General features: G+C 38.9%; 2 long non-coding RNA genes across 2 annotated transcripts in view, besides 6 other annotated features; one reads left to right on the top strand and one right to left on the bottom strand.

Annotated features, from left to right (window-relative positions):
* Positions 1–20: part of an enhancer, noted in NCBI's record as "tiled region #14147; HepG2 Activating non-DNase unmatched - State 5:Enh, and K562 Activating DNase unmatched - State 5:Enh", that runs on past the window's edge. NCBI's record gives its function as "activates a minimal TATA promoter and a strong SV40 promoter by Sharpr-MPRA in HepG2 and K562 cells {active_cell/tissue: HepG2 | K562}" and the evidence as "EXISTENCE:reporter gene assay evidence [ECO:0000049][PMID:27701403]".
* Positions 1–40: part of an enhancer, noted in NCBI's record as "tiled region #4530; HepG2 Activating DNase unmatched - State 5:Enh, and K562 Activating DNase matched - State 5:Enh", that runs on past the window's edge. NCBI's record gives its function as "activates a minimal TATA promoter and a strong SV40 promoter by Sharpr-MPRA in HepG2 and K562 cells {active_cell/tissue: HepG2 | K562}" and the evidence as "EXISTENCE:reporter gene assay evidence [ECO:0000049][PMID:27701403]".
* Positions 1–510: part of an enhancer, noted in NCBI's record as "CDK7 strongly-dependent group 2 enhancer chr10:4704879-4706078 (GRCh37/hg19 assembly coordinates)", that runs on past the window's edge. NCBI's record gives its function as "activates an origin of replication core promoter dependent on BRD2, BRD4, P300/CBP, MED14 and CDK7 cofactors, with strong dependence on CDK7, by STARR-seq in HCT116 cells {active_cell/tissue: HCT116}" and the evidence as "EXISTENCE:reporter gene assay evidence [ECO:0000049][PMID:35650434]".
* Positions 1–876: part of a biological region, named in NCBI's record as "CDK7 strongly-dependent group 2 enhancer GRCh37_chr10:4704879-4706078", that runs on past the window's edge.
* Positions 1–876: part of an enhancer, noted in NCBI's record as "H3K27ac-H3K4me1 hESC enhancer chr10:4704513-4705495 (GRCh37/hg19 assembly coordinates)", that runs on past the window's edge. NCBI's record gives its function as "activates a minimal SCP1, AML or CMV promoter by ChIP-STARR-seq in primed H9 embryonic stem cells {active_cell/tissue: H9 hESC(primed)}" and the evidence as "EXISTENCE:reporter gene assay evidence [ECO:0000049][PMID:30033119]".
* MANCR (mitotically associated long non coding RNA) overlaps positions 1–13,012 on the top strand; it is a 27,886-nt gene extending 14,874 nt beyond the window's left edge. Inside the window, exons 2-4 of the long non-coding RNA NR_024475.1 lie at positions 3,517–3,744; positions 5,472–5,596; positions 11,994–13,012. This is a non-coding gene — a long non-coding RNA (mitotically associated long non coding RNA). The remainder of the gene's footprint in view (positions 1–3,516; positions 3,745–5,471; positions 5,597–11,993) is intronic.
* LINC00705 (long intergenic non-protein coding RNA 705) lies at positions 778–7,041 on the bottom strand. The gene is given in 3 exon segments (NR_015425.1): positions 778–1,498; positions 3,086–3,215; positions 6,877–7,041. It is a non-coding gene; the product is annotated as a long intergenic non-protein coding RNA 705 (long non-coding RNA).
* Positions 877–1,860: an enhancer, noted in NCBI's record as "H3K27ac-H3K4me1 hESC enhancer chr10:4703529-4704512 (GRCh37/hg19 assembly coordinates)". NCBI's record gives its function as "activates a minimal SCP1, AML or CMV promoter by ChIP-STARR-seq in naive H9 embryonic stem cells {active_cell/tissue: H9 hESC(naive)}" and the evidence as "EXISTENCE:reporter gene assay evidence [ECO:0000049][PMID:30033119]".

Genomic DNA, 13,012 nt, shown 5'->3' with positions numbered 1-13,012 from the left:
TTGAGTTATTTTGACTTGGACTAGAAAGGAAAAAACGAGAGCCAACAAAATGGAACAAAGAATTTGCCCTTTCTCCTGAACATTAGGATCTTTGGTGATTTATGTGTAGCTTCCCTAGGATAATATGAGACTCATGTTTACAGGGAACATGGAAATCCAGGAAACAGAGACAGAAGTCACCAAAGTGAAGAAGCAGAAATAAAAGCCAGGCTAGTCGGGATAGTGTACAGATATGCAGTTAATATAATTACAGCAAAAACAGGCATACTTGTGCCAATCTTTAAAAAAGCGTTTTAAATCTGGGGTCCCCAATCCCCAGGCTACAGACTAGTACTGGTCCGTGGTCTGTAAGGAATGCACAGCAGGAGGTGAGTGGTGGGCAATTGGGCACAACCGCCTGAGCTCTGCCTCCTGTCAGATCAGCTGCGGCATTAGAGTCCCACAGTAGTGCAAACCCTACTGTGAACTGCGCATGCCAGGGATCTAGATGGTGCTGTTTATGAGGATCTAATGCCTGAGAAGAACAGTTTCATCCCCAAACCATCCCCCACCTACCACATCCGTGGACAAAATGGGTCCCTGCTACTGTTAATATTGGGGACTGCTCTTTTGAACGATGGTAAATGATTTTACTCAGTTTTGTTTTCTGAAAAGACTGCTTCAAATTAACTTTTTGAAGTTTTCCATCAAGTGTGTGTGACAAGTAAAGGAAATACTGCTACAAAAATATGATAATGGACTTGCCATTATTTAGCATGTTATTATTGCCCAACAACATTTTTTTCCTGGATGATAAGTATTTATTAGATATGACGGTTACAGAAAAATATAAGCATGAACAGTATGCATCTATTTGAATGCATAAGTGTGTTCACAGGTGGTTTCAGAGAGAGAAATTGAGAATGAGTTGAGGGGAAGAAGATTAAAAAGGAAGGGGGACTCAGAGATCTGCAGTGACCCAAATATCAACAAGGCTTGGGAACATTTTGGATCCTGACAAGGGGCTGCTCTCCAAACCACGTGTGTGCTCAGCGTTGTACACAGTTCAGTTTACTTCATGTGTTGGAATTCAATGGTGCCAAAGTACATTGGCAAACAAAGTGGACAGAAGAGATAATCTGCTTGTCAGCTAGAGACAGACAAGAGGCATGGAGAGGGGTGGCTGAAAATAGGGCCGTTGGCATGCGCTCAGGGACTGGAGTGGAGGAAAGTGCTTGGGGGCACTGCAAATAGCACTGATGGGGAAATCTAGGAGGTTGGGTCACACTGAGCCTGTGAGCCACGGATCAGGAGAAAACAAGACATGTGATAGGCAAACCCATGGGCTTCTGATGCAGGCGCTGTGCTGTGTTCCTCATGGGGCTCCTGGCAGATGGCTTGGGAGAGGGGCTTGTGTGCCTGTAAAGCCGTCTCCGGGGACCTGAGCTGCGAGGTGTGCGAAGTAGCCTCTCGCTCCTCATAGGCAGTTCTTTCACATATCTGCCAGAGGACGGCTCTTCTGCAAGAAAGAAAAGGAAACACAAACGGAGTGGAGGAGTCCTGTCGAGCAGCCAGCCCTGATGCTTTTAGTTCTCTCCCTCTTTACAGAGTTCACATCCACGCATGGCCACAGAGTAGGAGAGGTCACTGCTACGGTGATCAATTCATATCAAAACTACAATTATTTGCATAGCCACTGCCAAATATAAAGTGACCTTATATACATATTCTTATCTGGCATACACCTTTGGTAAATTCGCTAAAAAGGAGATGTTGCAGCACTGTGTTCTTGGCTATTTTGTTCACAAAAACACTTGGATCTCTTAAGGTAATATGAGCAAAATCTGGTTGTTTTCCAGCATGTAAAGTAGTTTAGTTGCTATAATATGACTTTTGTCCATCGAGTCACTTATTCACCTCTGCCACTGAATACTAACGTTTGGCCCTGAGACTCTCTGGCAGCAGGCACAGAGCCTAACCCACAGTGGGCTCTTGCTGTCTATATTTTTTTGAGACGGAGTCTCACTCTGTCTCCTGGGCTGGAGTGCAGTGGTGTGATCTCTGCTCACTGTAACCTCTGCCTTCCAGGTTCAAGTGATTCTCCTGCCTCAGCCTCCCAAGTAGCTGGGATTACAGGTGTGCCCCACCACATACAGCTAATTTTTGTATTTTTAGTAGAGAAGAGGTTTCTGCATGTTGGCCAGGGTGGTCTCTAACTCCTGACCTCAGGTGATCTGCCTGCCTCAGTCTCCCAAAGTGCTGAGGTTACTGGCGGAAGCCACCGCGCCTGCCCCCTTGGTGTCTATTCATGGGTCCAGTACAGTGATGCAATTGGAGGGAGTGGGGGGGAAGGAAGGTGACTTCTGTCTCTGTTTCCTAGATTTCCATGTTCCCTGTAAACATGAGTCTCATATTATCCTAGGAAAGCTACACATAAATCACCAAACATGCTAATGTTCAGGAGAAAGGGCAAATTCTTTGTTCCATTTTGTTGGCTCTCATTTTTTCTTTTCTAGTCCAAGTCGAAATAACTCAAGAGTAGTCAGGCAAAGTAGCCATAATGAGTAAAGATGGGGAGAGACAGAGAGGGTAAGGAAGGGAGAAGAGCAAGAGATAGCATGGAGAGGGAAGGGGCAGAAGAGAAAAGAATGAAGAGGAGGATGAGACTCAGAGAGAGGGAGAGAGGGAGATAGAGATGTGCAGAGAAAGGAAATCTTTCAAGAAATCTACAAAGTGTCAGGCACACCTTCTTGATTGATTTTGGGATGCCTATAAACAGCTATATAGTAGACATTAGGGGTGTGCTGGGTTTCTTTCATTTACCTGCATTAATTCTTCCCTTTTCCTACATAATTTTTCAGTCAGGGAAGCTGATTTCTATAGATTGTATTGCCTGGGCTCCCATGTGGTAGGTGGGAGGAGGGAGATATTAGCACAGGGTTGGCATTCATGCCTTCCTCACCCCGTGGCCCCAAGTTCTAACAGTGGTTAGGTCCCCTGGAGATGCAGTTTCTGTCAGGGACCCTGCTTTGGGGCTCCAGAGAGTTCTAGTAATAGAATAGAATTTTCCGTTATATGTCTAATTTATACCAAGAACCAAGAGTACCTGACTACGGCATACAGGTTACAAAAATCAACCTCTCCATCAAACGTGTTTTCCAAGAGCATCTCTTGAAATGTATTCTTCTCAACTGACAGGACAGAAAAGTAGGAAAACTGTGAGCCAATCCAAAAAGCTGCATAAAAAAGACAAGACAAATTTTTAGATTAAATTTTACTGTTAAGTTTGCTCCACAGAGGCATAGTGGAAGGCAGTGTTTGTGACACTCTTGCAGTTAATACACACACGAGAGTCACATTTCACCAGGCGTTTGGGGAAAAGTGAATCGACTAGAGGAGGAAAGAAAGCTGACATCCACCTCTTTCTTAATTCTTCCAATTCAGTAGCAGTGAGAAGCTTTTGGTACCAGTTGTTTACATGGGGCTTCACTCATTTCATAGCCTTTTCACATTATTTATCTCATTTGTTCTTCACAGCATCTCATGCTGTGGTTACAGCATCAATTGTGATGAATATAGGATACTGAGTCCCTCCTAGAAATGACTTCAGGAACTTCACCCCCCAACTCCACAATCTGGGAATGGCAGACAGATTCAGCACCAGGAGAACATCACATAAAGGACAAGTGTGTATGTTTAAAAATGGCAAGTTTCGGCCTGGCATGGTGGCTCACGTCTATAATCCCAGCACTTTGGGAGGCTGAGGTAGGTGAATCACGAAGTCAGAAGGTCGAGACAATCCTGACCAACATGGTGAAACCTTGTCTCTACTAAAAATACAAAAATTAGCTGGGTGTGGTGGCTCACACCTGTAATCCCAGCTACTCGGGAGGCTGAGGCAGGAGAATTGCTTGAACCCAGGAGGCAGAGGCTGCAGTGAGCCGAGATTGCTCGCTGCACTCCAGCCTGGTGAGAGTGAGATTCCGTCTAGAAAAAAAAAAAAAAAAAAAGACAAGTTTCTGCTTGACTTATAAGACCTAATCCAATGTATTTCTAAATCAAATAACAGATAGATGAAGGCATTTTTAAAGCAATTATCTCAGGTTTTCAAAACAGGTTTAAGAATGCGGTATCAAAGCCTGGACTAGGTTTCAATATTTCAGTATTTACAGATGACGTCTCAGAAAACAAAGAAGCCGTTATTGACAAGTGCTTTCCAGGCCAAAGGCAAGTGCCAGGGAGTATAGTGACAGTGGATTTGCTGCCAAACTGATGATTTTTTCTTGTTTTCTTTTCAGCCCTATTTGTCCTGGGCTCGGAATGTTGATGCAGCTATTTCTATTTGGTTATGGGTAAGGAAACGCTGCATTTATCACTGTGCCTACGTTTTCCTTCAAAGAGGCACGTGTAACTGTGTTCAATTGCAACTGAGAGCGTATTTTAAAAAGGAATTTGGCTTCAATGTCATTAACTGACCTTAAATAAATTGCTTGTGAGATTTTACAATATTAAACTTAGCTCAGAAGAAATGCTGAAATTAGTAAATAATGATTTTTAAGAACTTATATATGTCATCTTTTAAAAAACCTGCTACTTCAAATAACTTCAAAGTGAGGAAAAGCTTTTATCAGCTTTAGAGTTAAAATGCAGATGTTAATCGCAGGTTAGGATCTTGATAATTTCTAAAAAGACAAATGCAGCATTATTTGTAAAAGTACATACAGTCGTGTACAGCATAACAACGTTTTGTTCAACGAAGGACCACATATACCATGGTGATCCCTCAAGATTATAATGGAGCTGGCAAACTCCTGCCAACTCATCAGGCAGTCGCCACTGTAAGACTGTAGCAAAATGCATTAGTCCTGTGTTCGTGGTGATGCTTGTGTACACAGACTTACTGCACTGCCAGTCATATAAAAATACAGCACATACAATAAGGTATAGCACATAATACCTGACAATGATAATAAATGATTAGGTTACTAGTTTAATATGCTATAGTTTTTATTGTTATTTTAGATTGTACTCTTTATGTTAATATATTATTAAAAGGTCAGTTGTGAAACAGCTTCAGGCACTTCCTTCAGGAGCTATCCAGAAAAAGGCATTGTCATCATAGGAGATGCCAGCTTAATGCGTGACGTTGCCCCTGAAGACCTTCCAATGGGGCAAGAAATGTAGGTGGAAGACAGTGATAATGATCCTGACCCCGTGTAGGTGTAGGCTATTGTGTGGTTTGTGTTTTAGTTTTTAACAAAAAAGTTTAAAAATTAAAAAATTAAACAATATAAGAGCGCTTATAGAATACGGATATAAAAAGAGACAATATTTTTGTTCAGCTATACAGTGGATTTGTGTTTTCAGTGGAGTGTAATTACAAGAGTCAGAAAGTTAAAACAAAGTGAAAAGTTTATACTGTAAAAAAAGTTATAGTGGGCTAAGGTTAATTCATTATTGATGAGAGAAATTTTTTTGTACATTTTGTGTAGTCTAAGTGTACAGTGCTTGTAAAGTCTGCAGTAGCATACAGTAATGTCCAAGGCTTTCACATCCACTCACCACTCGCTCACTGACCCAGCCAGAGCAACTTCCAGTCCTGAAAGCTGCATTCATGGTGAGTGTCCTACACAGGTGCATCATTTTTATCTTTTATACCATATTTTTACTGTATCTTTTCTATGTTTAGATATGTAAATACCATTGTGTTACAATTGCCTACAGTATTCAGGACAATAACAGGCTGTACATGTTTGTTGCCTAGCAGCAGTAGGTGTGTAGTAGGCTCTTCTGTCTAGTTTTGTGAAAGTTCACACTATGATGTTTGCATAACAACAAAATCACCTATGGATGCGTTTCTCAGAATGTATCCCCATTGTTAAACGATGCATGGCTCTGTGTGTGTATGTGCAGGACTCTGTGTGTGTGGTATATGCATACCACATACGCACACATCCACACTATACTATGCACTCTACATATATACAACTACATAGGCAAATATAAAGCTGCATGTGCATAAATACACAAACAAACACACATACATATGTATAAAAGGTAATGTATTGATATTAATACTGACAATGTGTACTAAGCATATATTTATATACCCTTAAATGTATATTATTTTAATACATACTATATTATGTTATATACTAATACACTTTTTTAAAACTGAAAGAAATCTCGTTGCCAATTTGTGTTTCTAAATATGATGTCCATATTTTTTCTGATTTTATTACTATAGCTGTGATCACGTCATGTAACTTAATTTTGATGATGTTTCTCACAGTATAGTTTGAGGGTATCCAGCCTCAGATTATCTGAGGATGTAGCTCAAGATTTCCTAATTTTGCAAACAGCAAGCTTCCCAGGAGATTCTTAGATTCCTGCTAACAAAAGGCGGAGACTCACTGGACAGTTACTGAAGATAGACAGTAGGGGGCGGAAGGGCCCACGCTTCTTTGATATTGGTGGCTTTGGTTTTTCAGTGACGGGGGACACTTTGACTTCAGGTATGTTCTGCATTTAGAATTTTCAAATGAACGTTTCTTGTCTGTTCCCTTCTTTTTTCTGCCTCCAAACATAATGTCTATCATTGTAAAAGTAATAAAAAATCACTGAACAAAATTTGGAAAATACCAAATGAATAACAATAGAAATAAAGTAAAAAAAGAACCACTCAAATTCCCATCATCAAGAAATAAACATTCTGATAATATTTAATTTTATTTTCCTATATATATTGTGTGTGTGTATATATGTATGTGTATATATATACATATATTCAAAATGTATTATAACACAAAATGTATAAAATATATAATAGTATAAACAAAATTATATTATATATGTCATTTTCATGTCATATGTCAGATATAGCATATTAATACATACCCAGTTTTCTAAAATGCTGATCTCTTTGAAATATTCAATTATCAATTGTGTTTCTTTCCTCACTGAAGTTCCTTTTTACGACTTTTGGTAGTGAAGAGATAAAGTTCATTACAAAACATGCCAGGCTTAAGCAATTTTCCAAAGGGATTAACGAATTGCAGTGGCCGCAGGCTATGTAAAAATTTTTAAAAGGTGGTGTCTCTCATATTCTTCAGCATAACTTGGGTCACAGAAACCCAGGCATAAAAATTCATTGTGAACTCATATTCTACCATGGCCTGACACTGGTAAGTTATTTTGTTGCAAAAGCCTTAAGCAATTTGAGATGTCGAAGCACGTTTTCAAGAGTTAGCACATCTCCATTGTCTATAAACTGCATGCATATTTTATGCCTAAAAAATATTTCATCTTCTGATTTTCTAGCTTTCTTCTGCAGGTTGTTTTTTTTTTTTTAGAATATTTTTCAATCATTTTAATTCTCTATTGTAAAACTTGGAAATCTCTACTTATGGACTGCCAAGAACAGTCTGAAATTAAATCAATTTACTCTCACTCTTAGTGAATATTTTGGGAGTGCTAGGTATTGAATGTGTCCCCCAAAAGTTCATGTGTTAGAAATGTAATCCTTCTGCCCCTATGATGAGATGAATGGATGAATGAGGGCTCTGTTCTCATGACGGGATGAATGTTGCTGTCCCAGGAGTGGGTTTATTATCACAGCAGCGTTATTCTTGTGCCTGTGAGCTCTCCCTGGCTCCCTTGCTCCCACTCTGAGCATGTGATGCCCTCTGCCATGAGGTGAGGCAGCAAGAAGGCCCTCACAGATGCCGGCACTGTGGACTTCCAGCCTCTAGAACTATGAGCTAAATAAACTTTTTAATATAAATTACCTAGTTTGTCATCTTTTGTTACCAATAAGAAAAGGCAATAAGACCGGGAGGTTCTATTATGATGTCATTCATGGGAAAATGGTAGACAGGACAGAATCTTTGCTGGCTCCCTAGATACTGCCTTGGAATGTTACTCTTGGAAAACAGTGGCTACAGAGTGATGCCTTTCTCCATAACTTTAATTTACCTTAAGAAAAGCTTTGAGTGCTACTGAGTCGGGAATGAAAAACCTAGAGAATGTTCTGTCCTGTGGGAGCAAGGAGTATAGTTAGTCCCTGTATTACTACCCAAAGGGGCATGAGGCTTCACCCTCCTTGGGCTCCCTAGGGACTTATAATGCCTTCCTGTAATTATCGGGCCAGTTAATTTAATACTAATCCACTTAATTCAGTTAACATCAGATTTGTCCTAGGGATCTTGTTACATCCTTTTGTATACTAAAAGAGAAAAAGAAAAAAAAAAAGATTTGCTTCTCTTTCAATATTCCTGGGAAGTTGGATATCCACATGGAAAAGGCAGATCTCTAGTTCACAACAGATAAAAAATAAATTTTACTCAATGTGAAATTAAATGTAAAAAATAAAACTTCAACATTGTAGAAGAAAATATAGAAAAAGCTCTTTAGGTCTGTGAAGGAGAAAAGAATTATCGAAATCAGGCCATAAAGAAAAAGTACAAGTCATAAAGGCAATAAATATACAAATAGAGTTTAACCTCTGAAACACTTGACCGAATGTTCTGAGGTAAAAACAACAAACCAGCCATTGAAGGGAAGAACAGATTGACAGTGCATATAACACAGAAAGAAGTAGTAATCAAACTATTTAAAATTGCCTAATAAATCAAAAAGAAAAGACCAAAAAAGGAAAAAAAAAAACATTGAAGGATAAGAATAAGCAATTGACAGAAGAAGAATTTGTAATGGTCAATAAAGAGATGTAGTAATTTTTAAATTATAATAAACAATGGAAATAAACAGAATGCCCATTAGCAGGATAGGTGAATATACATATTTTTGTACGGTCATAAACTGGAGCGTATTATTCCCTAGATTTTTGTATTTCTGAAATTGTTTATTAAAATAGTCTTAGTCTCTCTAACAATTTAAACAAAGCCACTAAAAGGACCTGGTGCTATATTGTAAATTAAAATTTACATGCCAATGGAAAGAATTGAATTAAGCATAGTTCAGTTTGCATTTTTTTGAAGCAATGTATTTTTAAAGACAAAATAACTGAACTAAGATAACAATTTATATAAAAGAAAATGGCTGTTTCTGCTAAATAGCCTGTTGCATTTGAAATCTTTGCTATCTCTGTGGAGACCAGGAGCAATCTAAATGGAAATAAAGTAACTTTATAATTGTAAATGTGTATTTGAGTGAAAGCTAACTTTAGGGAATAGTAGAGAGTAAACTGGGTATTCACAGGTAAAGAGAGATAATTTCTAGAACAAAAAATGTCAGCCAGAAGAAATGGGCCAAATATTAGTGTCCTCGTTTGGATTTTAATGAAGTTGTCAAATTTATGGGCTATGATAACTTATAATGGGCAAAAGAATGTTAAGTAGTCTAGATGGGAGAGGGCAGAAATTACAACAACAAAAAAATTCAGACACCAAATGATGACACAATCTTCCAAATTATAAATCTGATCTCATTTTTATTCAGTGACATTTGATATCTCTCAACTTTCCACACTTTAATATATTCAGTAGTAAATTTGATAGGATTGAAAAAAATGACACTATAATTCCAAAGTCTTTTGCATAGATCATTTCTGAGAATCTGTGCCTAACCTAACCTCATTTCCAGAAACTTCTCAAGCTGCCCCATGTCTCAGGTGAGTAGAATGGAAAAAAAGACGCGATTAACTGCTCTAATATTTTATTTAAATTTAATATAAGCATTTGCCATTAGTTTACAAGTAAATGCTTTAATACGTCAAGATTCGTAGAGAAGATTCTGAATCTTGAATTTTGTCGATGACTCAGTGTTATGGAAAATCTAGAACAGCAGGGTCCCACCTCATGGTGACAAGAGATGGAATGTCCTAATCGTTTAATTATTGGTTGTAAAACCTATCCCTTGCAAAAACAGGGAGGCTTTTACGACGGCATTGTGTCTGCCTGCTAGCGCCCCAGGCAGCTTCGCAGAGCTTCCCAGTGCTGATGAGATGGTGGAGACTGCTTTTGTGATGATTTTCCAGAGTTTGTTTATTCATTTGTTCAAATAACATTGACTATGTGGAAATGATTATTTGGTGCCATTAAGAGATTGATTGTGTCTCATTCTTAAAAGTTATAGACTTTATAAACAAATGTTATCATTATATTAAATACTAATTTAAAATACAATAACAATTACATTATAATAAATACTATAAAAAAATAGAAAAATTATACATCTTGTCAGTCCAATCAACTGTAAAATAATATTACATGAGATACTGCCATAATACTTTTCAAGTTTCAAAATTGAAATCGATTAAACCTGTTTGAAAACCTATATACATGCGTTAAGCAAGATGCTACAGCTTATTTCTCTACTAGCTGGCTGTGACTTTCCCTTTCGTTTTCCCTATTTACTCTATTAGTGAGGAGCCCCTTATCTCGTATTTTAGGTCCACATTTGTACATAGTTCACAACAGGAATTAGTAAATAAAAGCTGCTGACAGCAGTACTTTAATTTCCCCCTGAAGCTCATTCATCTGGGAGGTAGCCAGCCTCTGTTACACCACAAAGACCTGGCTTCAAGCTTCCCGCCTTATTTTATGAGAACATCAGCCTCTCAAGTCCAGCTGATTATTTTGTTTCTTAAGCTACATCAGTATAGAAACAGAAGGAAAAGTGGAGGAAGTTAGGAGAATAGACCCTGAGTGTAGCAAGTAGTAAAGGTTGACAATCTGCTGGAGGAAAGTCAGCATGCAAAAGTCCAGAGATAGCTAAAACACACAGTACGAGGGGGAGTGGACATGAAGGGCAACCCAGACAGTCCGGATGCTTAGCTGAGTGAGCATCAGTCACCCCAAAGCCTGACTCATCTCAAACACCTTGATTTTCTCTACTGTATACCCCACACCTCACCATGAATGGAGAGTTGCTGTGGTTGATTTCACTCCTGAGTTACCATTTCTACAGATTTCACCAACAAGAACATGAGTGATTGTTTCAGTATTGACCTAAACTTTGACTCTTGGGGTTGAGACAGTTTTCTCAATGAACTGAGTTTGAACCCTGGTGGCAAGGTGGGTGCCAGGTGGTGTTGATGGTAGGACAACCCAGAGCTGTGATGACTCCCCAAGAGCACGGCCTATGAAACCTCATGGACTTGGCATGTTGTTGATGGAACATCCAAAGCATTGCATGAGATTCTCAACCATAAGGGATGGTCAAAATTAGTGTCACATAAGAAGGTACAATCAATTTTCACAGTCACTTCACTTTTAAGGAGGTAGAGTCAGATGTCCTGGAAAATAAGAGAAAACTAAGAGAAAATGAAAATGAAAGCCAAAATGGATCTCTTTGTGAAATATGTTCAGAGCATTAGAGAGTAGAGTAAAATGGTAATTCACAGAACTCCTCACCCATGAAATGAATATCTTGTGAGCAGGTTAGTCTTTTTCCATCTATTGAGTCAGAATCTGGGTGAGTCACACACTTCAGGTGACAGATGCCAAAACACCCTCAAAATTAACCAAAGGGTGCTGCTTAGCCTTGCAAAGCAAATACAAATATTCAAACAAACATCTCTCCAAAAGGCACCTCTCCACTTTCCGCTAACTAACCGTCTGTGCTATGTCTTTACCTAGAGCCCCGTGCTTGGGATGGGAACAGACGTGTTCCTGCGCAGCCCTATTATTTTCTTGTCAGAAGCCTGATTAGAGTGATGGAGAGGTTTATAATGTGTCCTGTTTTCCCCTGTAAAAAACACATTTCTCCTAAAGCCATTTAATATTTCATTGCCAGAATATCCAGTGATATAAAAATTCTGAAACCCTTTATTTTCTGTTGTATAGGTAAGAAAAAGAAAACATCAATTTACAGTTTACATGTAAATCCCACAGATAGCACTTAAAATCAAGTAGTAGATAACATAACCTGGCAGCCATCATAATGCTCAGCATTTTATAATTCAAAAAACATAACAATCAGGTTAAACAAATAGTATTTTTTATTAAATGTCACTCAATCCCAGGGCTGAGAATTCATTTGTGTTTTCCTCCTAGACTCAATCACCACAATTGCAATCAAAAGACGGCTTTAGTTGGAACCTGGAACGTGCTAATCCTGTCAGGCAGCCTGTGATTCTGGAAGTGAAGGAACAAAAAAAAAAAAAAAAAGGGAAAATTTCACATAAAATTTCCATATGAGGAAGAAGATGGAAACTTTTGTGTTGTGCGTTCAGTAAAACGGGCACTTTCTTAAGCAGGTGGCAAAGAAAGCCTGAGAATCCGGCCTGACTTTTTCATTTCAGAACCCTGCATTTCCCACACAGAGGAGATAGAGCACAGCCATTGCATGGTAGATCCAGCTTGCTCTCACAGCCATTGTGCAAATAAACATACATGTGGCAAGGCAGTGCAGTTTTCAGTTGTTAAAAGTTCTGTCATGCCACGAGATGGAGCAAAGGATAAACGCTGATGTAAACAGGCAACAGGACTCTGACTCCACACCCCTGTCTGCACGGAGGATGCTCAGTCCTTACACAACAAAATGTGAGATGCTTCCAGTCACCTCCTGGCCCTGACCCCTGAGCTCCGTGCTCACCCCACTGGAGGTCCTGGCAGTTCTCCGAGCAGGCTGTACCTGTCTGGGGTGATCCTCTCCACTTAATGTTAGACATTAAGTTCCCTGTGAAATCTGTTTTGACTCACTGAGGTTATGAATATTTTATCACAACTATCATCATATACTACCAAATCTCCAATTTTCTTATCTCCATTACTAGACTGTGAGCTCCCTGGAGGCTGGACCTGGGTTTGGCACCGAGTGGCACTCATACATACTTCTTGAATAAGAGAATGTATGTACACAGTGGCATGAAATTGATTTGAATTTGTTGGTTTTCTTAAGTGCTAAAGTTGTAGACAGTTCAGTAAAAACTATAAAGCGGTTACCCTGTAAACCATGAGTACTATTAATTGGAACCTCCTTTCTTACATATCCACTTGTGTTTCTGTTAATGTTTCCAAAATAAATAAAGAGCAGGCTAGAGGGAAACCTCCAGTCCTTAGAAACCACGGCA

This window comes from Homo sapiens, chromosome 10 (genome assembly GCF_000001405.40).
Source record: "Homo sapiens chromosome 10, GRCh38.p14 Primary Assembly".
Classification (NCBI taxonomy): Eukaryota; Metazoa; Chordata; class Mammalia; order Primates; family Hominidae; genus Homo; species Homo sapiens.
Note: the sequence above shows the minus strand (reverse complement) of the source record. Positions and strands in the feature narration are given on the sequence as shown.